General features: G+C 45.0%; 1 protein-coding gene across 9 annotated transcripts in view, besides 4 other annotated features; it reads left to right on the top strand.

Annotated features, from left to right (window-relative positions):
* Nucleotides 6,156-6,753: an enhancer, noted in NCBI's record as "H3K27ac hESC enhancer chr4:151936707-151937304 (GRCh37/hg19 assembly coordinates)". NCBI's record gives its function as "activates a minimal SCP1, AML or CMV promoter by ChIP-STARR-seq in primed H9 embryonic stem cells {active_cell/tissue: H9 hESC(primed)}" and the evidence as "EXISTENCE:reporter gene assay evidence [ECO:0000049][PMID:30033119]".
* Nucleotides 6,455-6,604: a silencer, noted in NCBI's record as "silent region_15747". NCBI's record gives its function as "represses an Ori minimal core promoter by ATAC-STARR-seq in GM12878 lymphoblastoid cells {active_cell/tissue: GM12878}" and the evidence as "EXISTENCE:reporter gene assay evidence [ECO:0000049][PMID:35858748]".
* LRBA (LPS responsive beige-like anchor protein) overlaps nt 6,581-14,690 on the top strand; it is a 751,293-nt gene continuing 743,183 nt past the window's right edge. For 5 of the 9 annotated variants that reach the window (NM_001199282.3, NM_001364905.1, NM_001440431.1 and 2 more), the window contains exons 1-2: nt 7,024-7,106; nt 7,447-7,881. In NM_001199282.3, the coding sequence (NP_001186211.2) occupies nt 7,666-7,881 (216 nt within the window). In that variant the 5' untranslated portion in view covers nt 7,024-7,106; nt 7,447-7,665. Of the gene's footprint in view, nt 6,836-7,023; nt 7,107-7,446; nt 7,882-14,690 lie in introns of those variants that run through there. The other 4 variants (XM_047416462.1, NM_001367550.1, NM_006726.5 and 1 more) reach the window with 1 other exon arrangement.
* Nucleotides 7,105-7,234: an enhancer, noted in NCBI's record as "active region_22017". NCBI's record gives its function as "activates an Ori minimal core promoter by ATAC-STARR-seq in GM12878 lymphoblastoid cells {active_cell/tissue: GM12878}" and the evidence as "EXISTENCE:reporter gene assay evidence [ECO:0000049][PMID:35858748]".
* Nucleotides 7,415-7,594: an enhancer, noted in NCBI's record as "active region_22016". NCBI's record gives its function as "activates an Ori minimal core promoter by ATAC-STARR-seq in GM12878 lymphoblastoid cells {active_cell/tissue: GM12878}" and the evidence as "EXISTENCE:reporter gene assay evidence [ECO:0000049][PMID:35858748]".

Raw genomic sequence — 14,690 nt, 5'->3', positions numbered from 1 at the left:
TTTGGCTTTATGTCTCTTCTATATAGAAACAACCCAAGACTCTGTGTAGGTTAACTAGACCCATGTTCAATTCTGCACCCCCAACAGCTAGCGCTGTTGTTATCTGAAGGCTGGAATATTCAAGATGGCTTACTCATGTAATGGCAGGTAGTTGGTGCTGGTTGTTGGCTGGGAATTCAGCTGGGGTTGTTAACTGATGGGTCTCAGTTGTTCTCCATGTGGCTTCTCCAAATAGATTGGATTCCAAGAGGGAATGTTCCAAGCATGCTACCACATGGCAGAAGTTATCTTTCTCTTTTTACTTAGAGTACTGGTAAGCAATTTAGCATTCAAACCCCAGAGAATGAGGGCTAGGAAAAGTAATCTCCTTTCCTGTCTGCTTGAAGTCAACATCCTGGTGTCTCATTTCTTGTGTGAACTCCTACCTCTATCCTGATGATGGAAATGGAAACCTACCACTTTAAGGGGATGGAGTGACCTCTCAGAGACCTCAACTGCACAAGCCATTCAGAACTTAGCTGATAAATGCCAACAGTCATTCTAGTGACATGCACTTATATAAATTGCAAAGGTAGGGTGGTGTGGTGGTGCAACATTTCATTGCACTCTAATGGCACTATCTTACTATCATAAGAGAACACTGCAAATGGTCTACCTATTTACATATTACTTAATAACCAAATAGAGAAGGGAAAAATAGAAAAGACAAATCAACCAAACTGTCTACCACCTTATCAACTACACTAAGTACTGCATTCATATTTTATGTCTTAAAAGGTATGTTTTGGCTAGCACATTTGCTGAAAGTGAAGTTGCCCTTTTCAAAGTCTCTACCCTTTGTGTGACATACACAAGGGAAAAAATGTTTTTTAAAATGTCTTGCTGGGCGTGGTGGCTCACTCCTGTAATCCCAGCACTTTGGGAGGCCGAGGTGGGTGGATCACTTGAGGTCAGGAGTTCGAGACCAGCCTGGCCAACATGGTGAAACCCCGTCTCTATTAAAAATACAAAATTTAGCTGGGTATGGTGGCAGATGCCTGTAATCCCAGCTACTCAGGAGGCTGAGGCAGGAGAATTGCTTGAACCCGGGAGGCGGAGGTTGCAGTGAGCCGAGATGGCGCCCGCCACTGCACTCCAGCCTGGGCAACAGAGTGAGACTCCGTCACACACAAAAAAGTCCAAGATATAGTAAGTTGATGTGGATCATTTTGAACTTAAATAATCACATAAACTTTTTTTTTTTTTTTGAGACAGAATCTCACTCTGTCACCCAGGATGGAGTGCAGTGGCACCATCGTGGCTCAGTGCAACCTCTGCCTCCCAGGTTCAAACGATCCTCCTGCCTCAGCCTCCCGAGTAGCTGGGACTACAGGAGTGCACCACCATGCCCAGCTTTTTTTTTTTTTTTTTTTTTTTTTTTTGGTATTTTTAGAAGAGATGGGGTTTCACCATGTTGGCCAGGCTGGTCTTGAACTCCTGACCTCAAGTGATCTGCCTGCCTTGGCCTCCCAAAGTGCTGGGATTACAGGAATGAGCCACCGTGCCCAGCCACATAAACTTTTGATGTTAAACTTTTGAGTTTCTAACTATAAATAGGTAATGTCTTTTTCCTTTAAATTATAATTGTTCCCAGTGTCAAATGCCCCATGAAAATGTCATTAATAAGGGCTACTAACATTTGAGGTTTATTTAACATTAGTAAGATTTAATGAATAGTAAAAGCAACGTTTGACTTTCTCATAGGAAGGGCTAAAAAACCATTGCCATGCATTTCCAGCCTAAGATATCATAAGCTATGCTTAATAATTTGAAGAAATTCCAAGTCCAGGGATACACAAACAGGTGTACAGCAAATCATGTAGGTGGTACTTTTCCCCTAAGTTATAATTTAATCTATACCCTAGGAAAATGCCAAAGTCACAATTGGGTGGATTGGGTGATTTTCCAGTAGAAAGAAAATTCCATCCCATCTTTGTTCTCAAAACGTTTTTTCTTTGCATATAGGTAAGGGTTTACAGATCAATAATCTTCTTGATTTCAGTATGAAATTACTTTCTCTTTGCTTGAGTTACTCTGAGTTATGCAGAAGGCTCCCTGTTCTGAATCCACTATGTATTTCTTTTTTTCTGAGAATATTTCAGTGTATGTTGAAAACAAGGAACATTATGGAAACTTTCAGTCCTTAATTGTGTCAAGATATTAATGTTAGTGATATACAAATTAGATGGTGATGGGAAACTTGAGCCTGGCTTTATAGGAGGTAATTTTTTTTTCTTCCTTCCTTTTTTTGCAGGGGTGGGGGTTATGATACAGGGATACAGGTAAGATAGTCCTATAAACTCATCTGCTGATAGTTCATATGAAGGCTTTTGACTAGAAAACTTCCATTAATAGTGCTGAAGATATAAACATATGGTAAAACTGCTTTCCATATTAAGATACCTTGCCACCCACTCCTTTTCTTTGAGACAAGGTCTTGCTCTGTTAGCCAGGCTGGAGTGCAGTCATGTGATCTTGATGCACCGCAGCCTCCACCTCCCGGACTCAAGCGATCCTTCCGCCTCAGACCTCCAAATAGCTGGGACCACAGGCATGCACAGGGACCATACCTGGCTAATTTTTGTATTTTTTGTAGAGACGGGTTTTCACCATGTTGCCCAAGCTGGTCTCAAACTCCTGAGCTCAAGCAATCTGCCCACCTTGGTCTCCCAGAATGCTGGGATTACAGGCATGAGCCACCACCACGTCTGGCTTCCCCCTACTTGTTTTTGATATGGGGTCTTGATTGGTCACCCACGCTGCAGTGCAGTGGCAACATGACAGCTCACTGCAGCCTCGAACTCCTCGGCTCAAGTGATCCTCCCACATCAGCCTCCCCAGTAGCTGGGACTACAGATGTGTTCCACCATGCCTGGCTAATTTTTAAAACTTTTTGTAGACAGGAGGTCTTGCCATGATGGCCAGGCTGGTCTCAAGCAATCCTCCCCTCTTGGCCTCCCAAAGTGCTTGGATTACAGGCATGAGCCACTGTGCCCAGCCAAGATACCCATTCATACCAGGATTTTCCTCCCTGTCACTGCTAATAGCTGTGTAGGCGCAGACAAGGGCTTTCAGGTGAGAAAAATTAAAGCAAGTAACTTTAGAGTTTCGACTCAATCCAAATAATATGAATACCTGTAATGTGTAAAGTATTGTGCTATAAAGGAGCTTAAGATTTGAGGCAGATAGTTCATCTGGAATCATTCCAAGATTCTATGTCGTACACCTAAATAATAATCCACAATGATTGCATTTTATTTATTTTTTGAGATGGAGTTGTGCTCTTGTTGCCCAGGCTGGAGTGGCCAATCTCGGCTCACTGCAACCTCTGCCTCCTGGGTTCAAGCGATTTTCCTGCCTCAGCCTCCTGAGTAGCTGGGATTACAGGCATGCGCCACGTAATTTTTAGTAGAGATTGGTCAAGCTGGTCTTGAACGCCCAATCTCAGGTCATCCACCCGCCTCTGCTTCCCAAAGTGCTGGGATTACAGGCATGAGCCACCGCACCCGGGCCTAGTGATTGCATTTTAACTGGCTTGCCTAGAAGTGAAGAGTTTCGCCTTCTACCTTCCTTATGCTTCTTTCTGCAGTGAACCTCCAATTTTTGCCAACTATTTTGTTTTAACCATGGGCAAAGAGGTTGAAAAATTTTTATAAATAGTTGACAATTTGTGCATATATATATATATATATATATATATATATGTATTTTTTTTTAGATGGAGTTTCTGCTCTTACTGCCCGGGCTGGAGGGCAAAGGTGTGGTCGTGGCTCATTGCAACCTCTGCCTCCCGGGTTCAAGCGATTCTTCTGCCTCAGCCTCCAAGTAGCTGGGATTACAGGCACCCACCACAACGCCTGGCTATTTTTTTGTATTTTTAGTAGAGATGGGGTTTCACCATGTTGGCCAGGCTGGTCTCAAACTCCTGACCTCAGGTGATCTGCCTGCCTCAGCCTCCCAAAGTGCTGTGATTACAGGCAGGAGCCACTGTACCCGGCATTTAGAAATATTTGGTTAATTGTCTGTGTTCATTGTTTCATCAGTAGAACAGCATTAACAGTGAGCTTGCAAATTTATGAGCTACAAACCTTAGCCCTAGATCATTTAGACTGTGATCACTCTGTGTTGGGGGCATTTTCATTATTATCATCTGCTTCTTAATGGAAGACATTTATTCATTTAACAAATACTTAATTAGCACTTATATGACAGATATATTAACACACCATTTGCCCCATCTGAGGAGACAAACTCCGATGAGAGGCCTTTTAGGATTAATGCCTCACTTTAGAAATACGGATGTGTGAAAGGTCAAGTGAAAGTTGTGTCTCTTCTGCAGGCACACCCTACTCCCCCTTATTCCAGAGTTATTCATTAATGATGTGAAACAAACTTGAGGTGTTTAGTTTTTCAGAGATTTCAGAAATGGGAAGCCACTGATGTCGCCTTTTACTTTGGAAATGTGTTGGCAATTCGGATCATCAGAAAGATGTCTGCTTCATCTCTGGAATATCTAAGTCTACTTACAGAAAACAAATCTTTAACAAACATTTGCAACCACATGAGATTTGGTGCAGTTGAATTCATTTTAGTATTTTTAAAACGTGTAACACTTTTCTAAAGAAAATATCCCCTTGCTTGTTCTTCTGCTTCTTTTTTAAAAAAATAGAGACCTTGGTCGGGTACGGTGGCTCACACCTGTAATCTCAGCACTTCGGGAGGCTGAGACGGGCAGATCACCTAAGGTCAGGAGTTTGAGACCAGCCTGGCCAACATGGTGAAACCCCACCTCTACCAAAAATACAAAAATTAGGCGGGCTTGTAATAAAAATAAAAAAAATTAGCGCATGCCTGTAATCCCAGCTACTTGGGAGGCTGAGGCAGGAGAATCGCTGGAGCCCGGGAGGCAGAGGTTAAGGTGAGCCGAGATTGCGCCATTGCACTCCAGCCTGGGCAACAAGAGCGAAACTCCGTTTAAAAAAAAAAAAAAAAAAAGAGCACGGGTCTTGCTGTTGCCTAGGCTAGTCTCAAGTGATCCTCCTGCACTAGCCTCCTAAAGTGTTGGGATGACAGGTGTGAGCTACTACACCCAGCCCTCCCTTGCTTTTTGCGTCTGTTACCTTTTTCTTCCCAAATTTCCATGTGAGAGTTAAAATTGTCTTTTTTTTTTTTTTTTTTTGAGACAGAATCTCGCTCTTCCTCTGTCACCCAGGCTGGAGTGCAGTGGCAATTCTCCTGCCTCAGCCTCCCGAGTAGCTGGGATTACAGGCGCCTACCACCATGCCTGGCTAATTTTTGTATTTTTAGTAGAGACGGGGGTTTCACCATATTGGTCAGGCTGGTCTTGAACTCCTGACCTCAGGCAATCCATCTGCTTGGGCCTCCCAAAGTGCTGGGATTACAGGCGTGAGCCACCGCGCCCGGCTTCTGTCCACTTCTCAAGGCCATCTCAAATAACTTTTTCTTCAGGAAACTATTTCTCAAACCACTATAATTTTTTCCTAAGTTCTCTAGAATTCTTCCTTTGTTTAATCCCACTTTTTGCTTCACTTTCATTTTAGGAGCTAGGCGTATTTTTAAAAAGGCCCTTTGACCTCAAAGGATACACGTGGGTGAAAAACCACCTTCCTCTAAATTTATTTTTCACTCACTAGGAAGAATGGTTTACTGTTAATAGCGGGTGGAAAGAAGGGACACTGAGTATGAGGACCTATCTGTACTACCTAATATAATTTATCTTTTGATCTACTCTGAGAATGACGCGAGCCTAATCTTCACATTGGAAAATCACGAGAGGAAAAAACCCTTCGGAGGTCTACAGGCACAAGGAACCCTGTCTCCACGCTGTTTATAGCAGCTGTCTCAGGAATCCTCTGCCTAGAATGAATGTGGGAGAGGTTTCGTGGCGCGGCAGCTGCAAAGCAAGGAATCTTTCCCATTCCTCGTCGACTCGGTCCCCTCCCCTCCCCTCCCGAATGGCGGCAGCTGCCGAGGTATCCCAGTGGAAATCTCCAAGTCTCCGCCGAGAGCGGCGGGCGGGCAACAGCTGAAAGCAGCCAGGGGTGGGGACTCCTCGCTCCCATTGGGCAGGGACAGCAGCCTCACTGGCTCCAGCGCCGTCACCTCTCTGGCTCGTAGAGGTGCCTCAGGTGTTCTTCTCCAAGTCCAATGAGACACCTAGGCAACGCAGCGCGTGTTCCCTCCGCGCCAAGAGACCCTACGGTAACTTAACAACAGCAGGAGCGCCAAAATCCCCGCCTCAGGACTTGGCAGAAGCACCTCCCGAGGTCCGAGAGTGGGAGAGGGGAAAGTGTAGGCCCTCGGACGGAAGGGTCTCTCCTCGCCGGGCCGGGTACACACCTGGTGCTACCAGAGCAGCGCGCCTAGTGCAGCCGGAAGCCCCAGCCCAGCACTCCGGCTGGCTCGGGGCCCCCTTGGCTGTCCGCGCGTCGTCACCGCGCCCCCGCCGCGCGGCTGCCTCCGCCTTCGCGCCCTCCCGCCCCGCGCACTCGCGCTCGCGCACGCGCACGCCGCGCCCGGCAGCACTCGGCGCTGTCATGGCGGCCGGGAGCAGCTTCAGTGGGCACACGACAGCCGCGCGACCCGTGGCGGGGCGAGCTGTGGCAGTAGCATCCTCACCACTCGCAGCAGCCTCAGCCGCGGCGCCCGTAGCGCCAGCAGCGGCTGCTTTTGCAAAGGCTGAGCGCAGGGGCGGGGCGGGCCAGGAAGCCATGGAGTTCTGTGCAGCCGCGGACTCCCGGGGAGCGGACTAGGGAAACTTGGAGGCTGCGACCAGGTGCACTGACCTCTCTGTCCTCCCTTCTCTCCCTGCGGTGGCCGCTGGGTTTCTCTGGCCGCTCCCCTCCCTTCCTGCCACCACACACACCTCCCCACCCCTTCCCGTCGAATCTCAGGTGCCTGAGAGAGGTGCTTCACTCCTCCCACTGGGCCGAGCATTTAGAATAATCACCGCCCCCTTCCCCCGCCTTTTCCTGCCCTGGATCTCCGCCGCCACCTCGGTCTCGCTGCTCCTGGGCGGGGGGTGAGGACGAGTCCGGAGTATCTGGGTGAGGAAGAACTTTCTACCTCTGTGATAGCTTGTGGGCCCCCCTTCTTTCCTCCGATCCCTCCTTTCCCCGCGACAGTTTCTCTTTCTAGTGCACCTGTGAGGAGAGGTTACCCTGCGCCTAGAACCTGCACGAGAGTGGGGGAGGAGTGAGCCTGTTCGGGGGCCTCTTGGACCTGCCTTCACCCAGAACCCAGCTTTTTGAGCCCGGGAGAAGCGGGTGGCTAGTAGTGGGGTGCCTTTAGTAACTTACTTGACCGACAATAACTATTTCCCTCTTGTCCCCTCAAAACCCTAAAACAAAACCTAGCCTATTTAACATATATTTAATCTTCCAATAGGGTTTGGCGTTGTTGTCAGCCTCGGGGAGAGAGATTGGACAAATATTCTCCAAGAGGAGGAGGGCGACGCCAAGGACTTTCCACATCAACTGCTTTGGGGTATCTCCACAAGTTGGAAGAGGGACCCTTTCGTTTTGCATTGCGTGTGTTGTGCTCATTACCAGTGCAGCGACTGCCGTCCCAGGGTGACTCTGAGTTGTCCTTTATCGTGAGCTAGCAATGGCTAGCGAAGACAATCGTGTCCCTTCCCCGCCACCAACAGGTGATGACGGGGGAGGTGGAGGGAGAGAAGAAACCCCTACTGAAGGGGGTGCATTGTCTCTGAAACCAGGGCTCCCCATCAGGGGCATCAGAATGAAATTTGCCGTGTTGACCGGTTTGGTTGAAGTTGGAGAAGTATCCAATAGGGATATTGTAGAAACTGTCTTTAACCTGGTAAGTCCATGAATATTTTATAAGCATATACTCTTTTCAGTGGGTTGGGGAACAAGATCTTAAAGCTGGAGCCATGTGGTTTACTCACACTGATGGTGACTTTTTTCGTGTATAGGGACACAAAATTCTACTCACCTAAATGAAACAATTTCATCTGTTTTTTAGATTGAAGGGAATTGTGCAAACTTAGATGATCCAGGTTTTGTGAAAGTGAACACATCACTTTTGTGCTAAGGAAATAATTGTTGCTATGGAAGTATTGGGGGGAGGTTCTAGCGGAGGAGTTATCTCTAATTTTTTTTTTCTTGGCTTGTATGCCTAAGTCTGCGTTTCCCTTTACCACTTTAAATAATTTCTTGTGACCTTTTTTTGGACTTGAGAATTAATGTCTTTGATTCTGTCGAAGTTATGTTTTGCTACAATAAGTTTAAAAATTTGTTTGTAGTGCTGATGCAAGATTAATTTGCTGCAAAGTTAGTATTTTTAATTTTGACTAGTTTTATTTTTAGACATAACTAACAAAAGTTAAATTGGTGATGAATTTAGGATTGCATTTAAAGTAATCTTGTGAAAATTGAATGGCAATATGAAAAAAGGAATTGAAGCAGATACAGTATAATTTTTATGTGTTTTATAAATTCATGTCTAGCAGGAAAGCATAGTTAGTCATTGGAAGTTGCTGATTATACTAAGATGAGCTATGAATGCTTTTTTTCGGGTGGGGGTGGGAGGGGGATGAGGCCTCTCTATGTTGCCCAGGCTGTTCTCAAACTCCTAAGTTCAAGCTATCCTCCTGCTTCAGTCTTATGAGTAGTTGTGGCTATAGGCATGCATCACTGTATAGGGCTTAAATTGTTTTTAAATTGAGGTATAATTCATATATTATACAATTCTACCTTTAATTAATTCATTAACTTATTTATTTAGAGATGAGGTCTCACTCTGTTGCCTAGGCTAGTTTTGAATTCCTGGGTTCAGGCGATTCTCCCCTCTTGTCTCCTAAGTAGCTGGAACTACTGGCATGCGCCATTGTGCCTGGCTTGGTTATCATTTATAATGGAGACTTTTTAGATTTCTTTATTCCAGCCTCTCTTGCCCATCAACTTAAAGAATCAAAAGGAAATCTGGCCCTAAAATACTTCCCCCTTTTCTACCTACCCACCTGTGTTAGAGGATAACAGGACCAAATATAAACATGCAGTTAATTGTAATAACTGTTTAGCACCTTTCCCTTTGCCTCTTTTCAAGGTTAGGCTTGTTTTATTCTGGGGCAGTTAATTATTTCTTTCACTAGACCTTCTCTAATGGTCTGGTCACCTGCAGTACAACTTCTAGAATAAGAAAGTAGCTAGATGGAATTCTGGCCGGGCGTGGTGACTCACGCCTGTAATCCCAGCACCTCAGGAAGCCGAGGCGGGCACATCACTTGAGGTTAGGAGTTTGAGACTGGCCTAGTCAACATGGTGAAACCCCATCTCTACTAAAAATACAAAAAAATTAGCTGGATGCGCTTGCTTGTACCCAGGAGGTGGAGGTTGCTGTGAGCCGAGATCGTGCCAATGCACTCCAGCCTGGGTGGCAGAGTGAGAGACTGTTTCAAAAAAAAAAAAAAAAAAAAGAAATTCACTTACTTTTGAAGAATGAAAGCTTTGAACAATTGGATATTTCTATGTCAGTTTATTGGGAGTTTATGTATAAACACCTATAGACACACACATGCATATTTTAAAAAACTGCATATTATGGAAATGTTCAAATATATGCAAAAATAGAATAGTATAATGAACTCTGGTATCCGTTGTGCAGCTTCAACAGTTGTCAACATTTTGGGGATCTTGTGTGTGCGCATGTGTGTGGGGCTTTCATATGTAAGTCTGAGGAAGATAAATGGTAAATTGATTGCTTTACCTCAAAATAGACTTGAAACATTTCCTTTCTGATTTTTTGTTCTTTTTTAAAATGTCATATGCCTTCAGTGAGAAACAGAAATTTGTGGTAGTAATATAATCCATAATTACTTATTTGTGTGTGAAGACACAACATCTTTTGGCAGAAGGAGGATTTGAACTCCTGTTCTTTAGAATGTGCTGTGTTGGAGTGGATGACCAAACGTGAGTCATTTGCATTTTTATCATTAAAGAAAATCCAAATTCTATAGCAGCATTTGCTTATACGCTTCCTAGAACTGTAGACCTGGTATAGATTTTAAGGTCATTGGTTAAGTCCTTCAAAGCTGCGTATTTGCAGGATAGTAGGTGCCTGGATAGAAGGAGAGAGAAGAGTCTGTTCAGTTAGTTACCCTCCTCTTCAATATCATTCGCTTGTCAGGTAGGGCAGGAAAAGTTGCTGAGAATATTAGGTAGCAGTTTCTCCCCTTCCATTGTCCCTTAAAATACTTTTCATGCTCTTTCATGGATTATCTGGGGTTTTGGCCACTCTAGAAAATCTTTGGAAGCAGCTGCGCACAGTGGCTCATGCTTGTAATCCCAGAGCTTTGGGAGGTTCACTTGAGGCCAAGAGTTTGAGACCAGCCTGGGCACTATAGTGAGACCCTGTCTCTACAAAAAAAAAAATTAAATAAAAAATTAGCTGGGCATGGTGGCATATACCTGTGGTCCCAGCTACTTGGGAGGATGAGGTGGGAGGATCCCTTGAGCCCAGGAGTTCGAGGCTACAGTGAGCTACAATCATGCAGAGCAACACCCTGAAAAAAAAAATTAGAACGAAAGTATTGGGATTCTGTAAATTAGTCCATCTCAATGTTGTTAGTACTGCTACACGTAAATATTTCCTAATTGATAGTTAGTCTTTTTTTTTTTTTTTTTTTTTGAGATAGAGTCTCAGTCTGTTGCCCAGGCTGGAGTGCAGTGGTGCAACCTTGCCTCCCTGCAACCTCTGCCTCCTGAGTTCAAGTGATTCTCCTGCCTCAGACTCCCAAGTAGCTGGGACCACAGGCGTGCGCCATGAGGCCCGACTAATTTTTGTATTTTTGGTAGAGGCGGGGTTTCACCATGTTGGCCAGGCTGGTCTCAAAATCTTGACCTCAGGTGATCCACCCGTTCAGCCTCCTGAAGTGCTGGAATTACAGGCTTAAGCCACCACGCCTGGCCTAAATATTAGCTACTTAAACAATAAAGTTTATACTGTTAAAATTGAACAAGTTCCTCTCCTCCAGAGGTGTCCAAATAGTACATGGTAGAGCCATATAACTTTCCAGAGTTTTTTCTCTTTTTTTTTTTTGAGACAGAGTCTTGCTCTGTTGCCTAGGCTGGAGTGCAATGGTGCGATCTCAGCTCACTGCAAGCTCCGCCTCCTGGGTTCATGCCATTCTCCGGCGTCAGCCTCCCAAGTAGCTGGGACTACAGGTGCCCGCCACCACGCCCAGCTAATTTTTTGTATTTTTAGTAGAGACGGGGTTTCACCGTGTCAGCCAGGATGGTCTCGATCTCCTGACCTCGTGATCCGCCTGCCTCAGCCTCCCAAAGTGCTGGGATTACAGGCGTGAACCACTGTGCCCGGCCTTTTTTTTTTTTTTTTTTAATTGAGAGGGAGTCTCACTCTGTCACCCAGGTTGGAGTGCAGTGGTGCGATCTCAGCTCACTGCAACCTCTGCTGCTCGGATTCAAGCAATTCTTGTGCCTCAGCCTCCCCAGTAGCTGGATCTACAGGCACGCACCACCATGCCCGGCTAATTTTTTTGTATTTTTAGTAGAAATTAGGTTTCACCATGTTGGCCAGGCTGGTCTTGAACTCCCGACCTCAGGTGATCTGCCTGCCTTGGCCTTCCCAAAGTGCTGGGATTACAGGTGTGAGCCACCGTGCCTGGCCCAGAGTTTTTTCTTAAGTGCTACCTTCCAACTTTGCTAATGTAGCTTGACCTTAGTCTGTTATAAATTACTTTGAAATTTACTACCCTGTTTATAATTTCTTTTGCAAATCTGTTTTGCAGATAAATTTTGATTAACAGTGCACCAATGTAGTCAAGTGTTTCAAACTTCTGGTCAACTTGTACATTTTTCTTGTTGCAGTTTAAAACATTTTATTTTGTTTTCATCTGTATTTTAAAGTAATTTGTCAAACTTTTAGACCCAGAATAATTAATATATGTTGGCATGTTTTCAGGAACTTGCTGCTGAGTTTAAGGCTTCCATCAGGTATTTAAAGGTATTTAGTGCTACCTAATTCAAGAATAGTGATTCCCATGAGCTGGTGACAAATACATACTTTCATGATTTTTTAAAAAATTTTTGTTAAGTAATTACAGTCACCCCTTGATATGTGGGGGATTGGTTCCAGAACCCCTAGTGGATACCACAATTTTCAGAAGCTCCAGTCTCTTATATAAAATGGTATAGTATTTGCATATAACTTACATGTATCTTCCGTATACTTTAAATCATCTCTTTAAAATTTTTATTTATTTATTTATTTATTTATTTATTTTTTTGAGATGGAGCCTCACTCTGTCCCCCATGCTGGAGTGCAGTGGCGCGATCTCGGCTCACTGCAAGGTCCGCCTCCCAGGTTCACGCCATTCTCCTGCCTCAGCCTCCCAAGTAGCTGGGACTACAGGCACGTGCCACCACGCCCAGCTAATTTTTTGTATTTTTAGTAGAGACAGGGTTTAACCGTGTTAGCCAGGATGGCCTGGATCTCCTGACCTCGTGATCCACCCGCCCTGGCCTCTCAAAGTGCTGGGATTACAGGCGTGAGCCACCGCGCCTTGCTCTGTTGCCCAGGCTTGAGTACAGTGGCTTGATCATAGCTCACTGTAGCCTCAAATTCCTGGGCTTAAGCTGCTCTCCTGCCTCAGTCTCCTGAGTAGCTAGGACTTAGAGGCGTATGCCACCAAAACCCGCTAGTTTTTTTTTTTTTTTTTGAGACAGAGTCTTGCTCCCTCACCAGGCTGGAGTGCAGTGGCGCGATCTTGGCTCAGTGTAACCTCCACTTCCTGGGTTCAAGCAATTCTCCTGCCTCAGCCTCCTGAGTAGCTGGGATTACAGGCGTGTGCCACCACACCCAGCTAATTATTGTATTTTTAGTAGAGACGGGGTTTCACCATGTTGGCCAGGCTGGTCTCAAACTCCTGGCCTCAAGTGATCTGCCTGCCTTGGCTTCCTGAAAATGCTGGGATTACAAGTTTGAGCCACCATGCCCGGCTTTCTCCCATATACTTTAAATCATCTCTAGATTACTTAGAATACCTAATAGAATGTAAATTCTATATAAACAGTTGTACTCTATATTTGAAAATTTGAGCTGGGCACAGTGGCTCATGCCTATAATCCCAGCAGTTTGGGAGGCTGAGGTGGGAGGTCAGAAGTTTGAGGTCAGAAGTTCAACACCAGCCTGTGCAACATAGTAAGACCTTGTCTGTATAAGAAAAAAAAATACCATTTTATATATATATATATATATATATATATATATATATATATTTTTTTTTTTTTTTTTTTTGAGATGGAGTCTCACTCTGCCACCCAGGCTGGAGTGCAGTGGCGTGATCTTGGCTCACTGCAACCTCCGCCTCCCGGGTTCAAGCAATTCTATCTCAGCCTCCTGAGTAACTGGTATTACAGGGATGCACCAGCAAGCCCGGCTAATTTTTGTATTTTTGGTAGAGATGGCGTTTCACCACGTTGGCTAGACTGTTCTTGAACTCCTGACCTCGTGATCCGCCTGCCTCAGCCTCCCAAAGTGCTCGGATTACAGGCGTGAGCCACTGCGCCCAGCCTAGAGGTGGCTTTTTTAAACCTTCATTGAGATATGCAGTTGACTCTTGAATAACATGAGTTTGAACTGCATGGGTCCATTTATATGGTGATTTTTTTTTTCAACCAAACTCGAATTGAAAATACAGTATTCCTGGGATGTGAAACTGTTGCATACTAAGGGCTTACTTTTTATATCACTGGGTTCCACAGGGCCATTGCAGGACTTATCTGAGTATGCTCAGATTTTGGTCTATGCAGGAGTCCTGGAACCAATGTCCCCAGTATAGCAAGGGACAACTGTATTTTACATGCCATAAAAACCACTAATTTTAGGCTGGGTGCGGTGGCTCATGCCTGTAATCACAGCACTTTGAGAGGCTGAGGCAGGTGGATCACCTGAGGTCTGGAGTTTGAGACCAGCCTGACCAACATGGATAAACCTGGTCTCTACTAAAAATACAAAAATTAGCCAGGTGTGGTGGCGCATGCCTGTAATCCCAGCTGCTTGGGAGGCTGAGGCAGGAGAATTGCTTGAACCCGGGAGGCGGAGGTTGTAGTGAGCAGAAATCACACCACTGCACTCCAGCCTGGGCAACAAGAATGAAACTCTGTCTCAAAAAGAAAAAAAAAAAAGAAAAAAACTTCTCATTTTAAGTATACAAGTCAATGATTTTTAGTAAATTTAAAGAGTTTTGCACCTATTACCACAATCTAATTTTAAAGCATTTACATCCTGTGTTCATTACTTTATAGTTTTAGCTGCTAAATTTAGGCCTATGATTCATTTTAAGTCAATTTTTGTATGGTGTGAGATAAGGGTAAGGGAAAGGTCTACATTCTTTTTTTTTTTTTTTTTGAGATGGAGTCTTGCTCTGTGGCCCAAGCTGGAGTGCAGTGGTGCGATCTCGGCTCACTGCAAGCTCCGCCTCTTTGGTTCATGCCATTCTCCTGCCTCAGCCTCCCAAGGAGCTGGGACTACAGGCGCCCGCCACCACGCCTGGCTAATTTTTTGTATTTTTAGTAGACACGTGGTTTCACCGTGTTAGCCAGGATGGTCTCGATCTCCTGACCTCGTGATCCGCCTATCTCGGCCTC

The sequence above is a fragment of the Homo sapiens genome, chromosome 4 (assembly GCF_000001405.40).
Source record: "Homo sapiens chromosome 4, GRCh38.p14 Primary Assembly".
Taxonomy (NCBI): Eukaryota; Metazoa; Chordata; class Mammalia; order Primates; family Hominidae; genus Homo; species Homo sapiens.
This window is presented reverse-complemented; position numbering and strand designations above follow the sequence as displayed.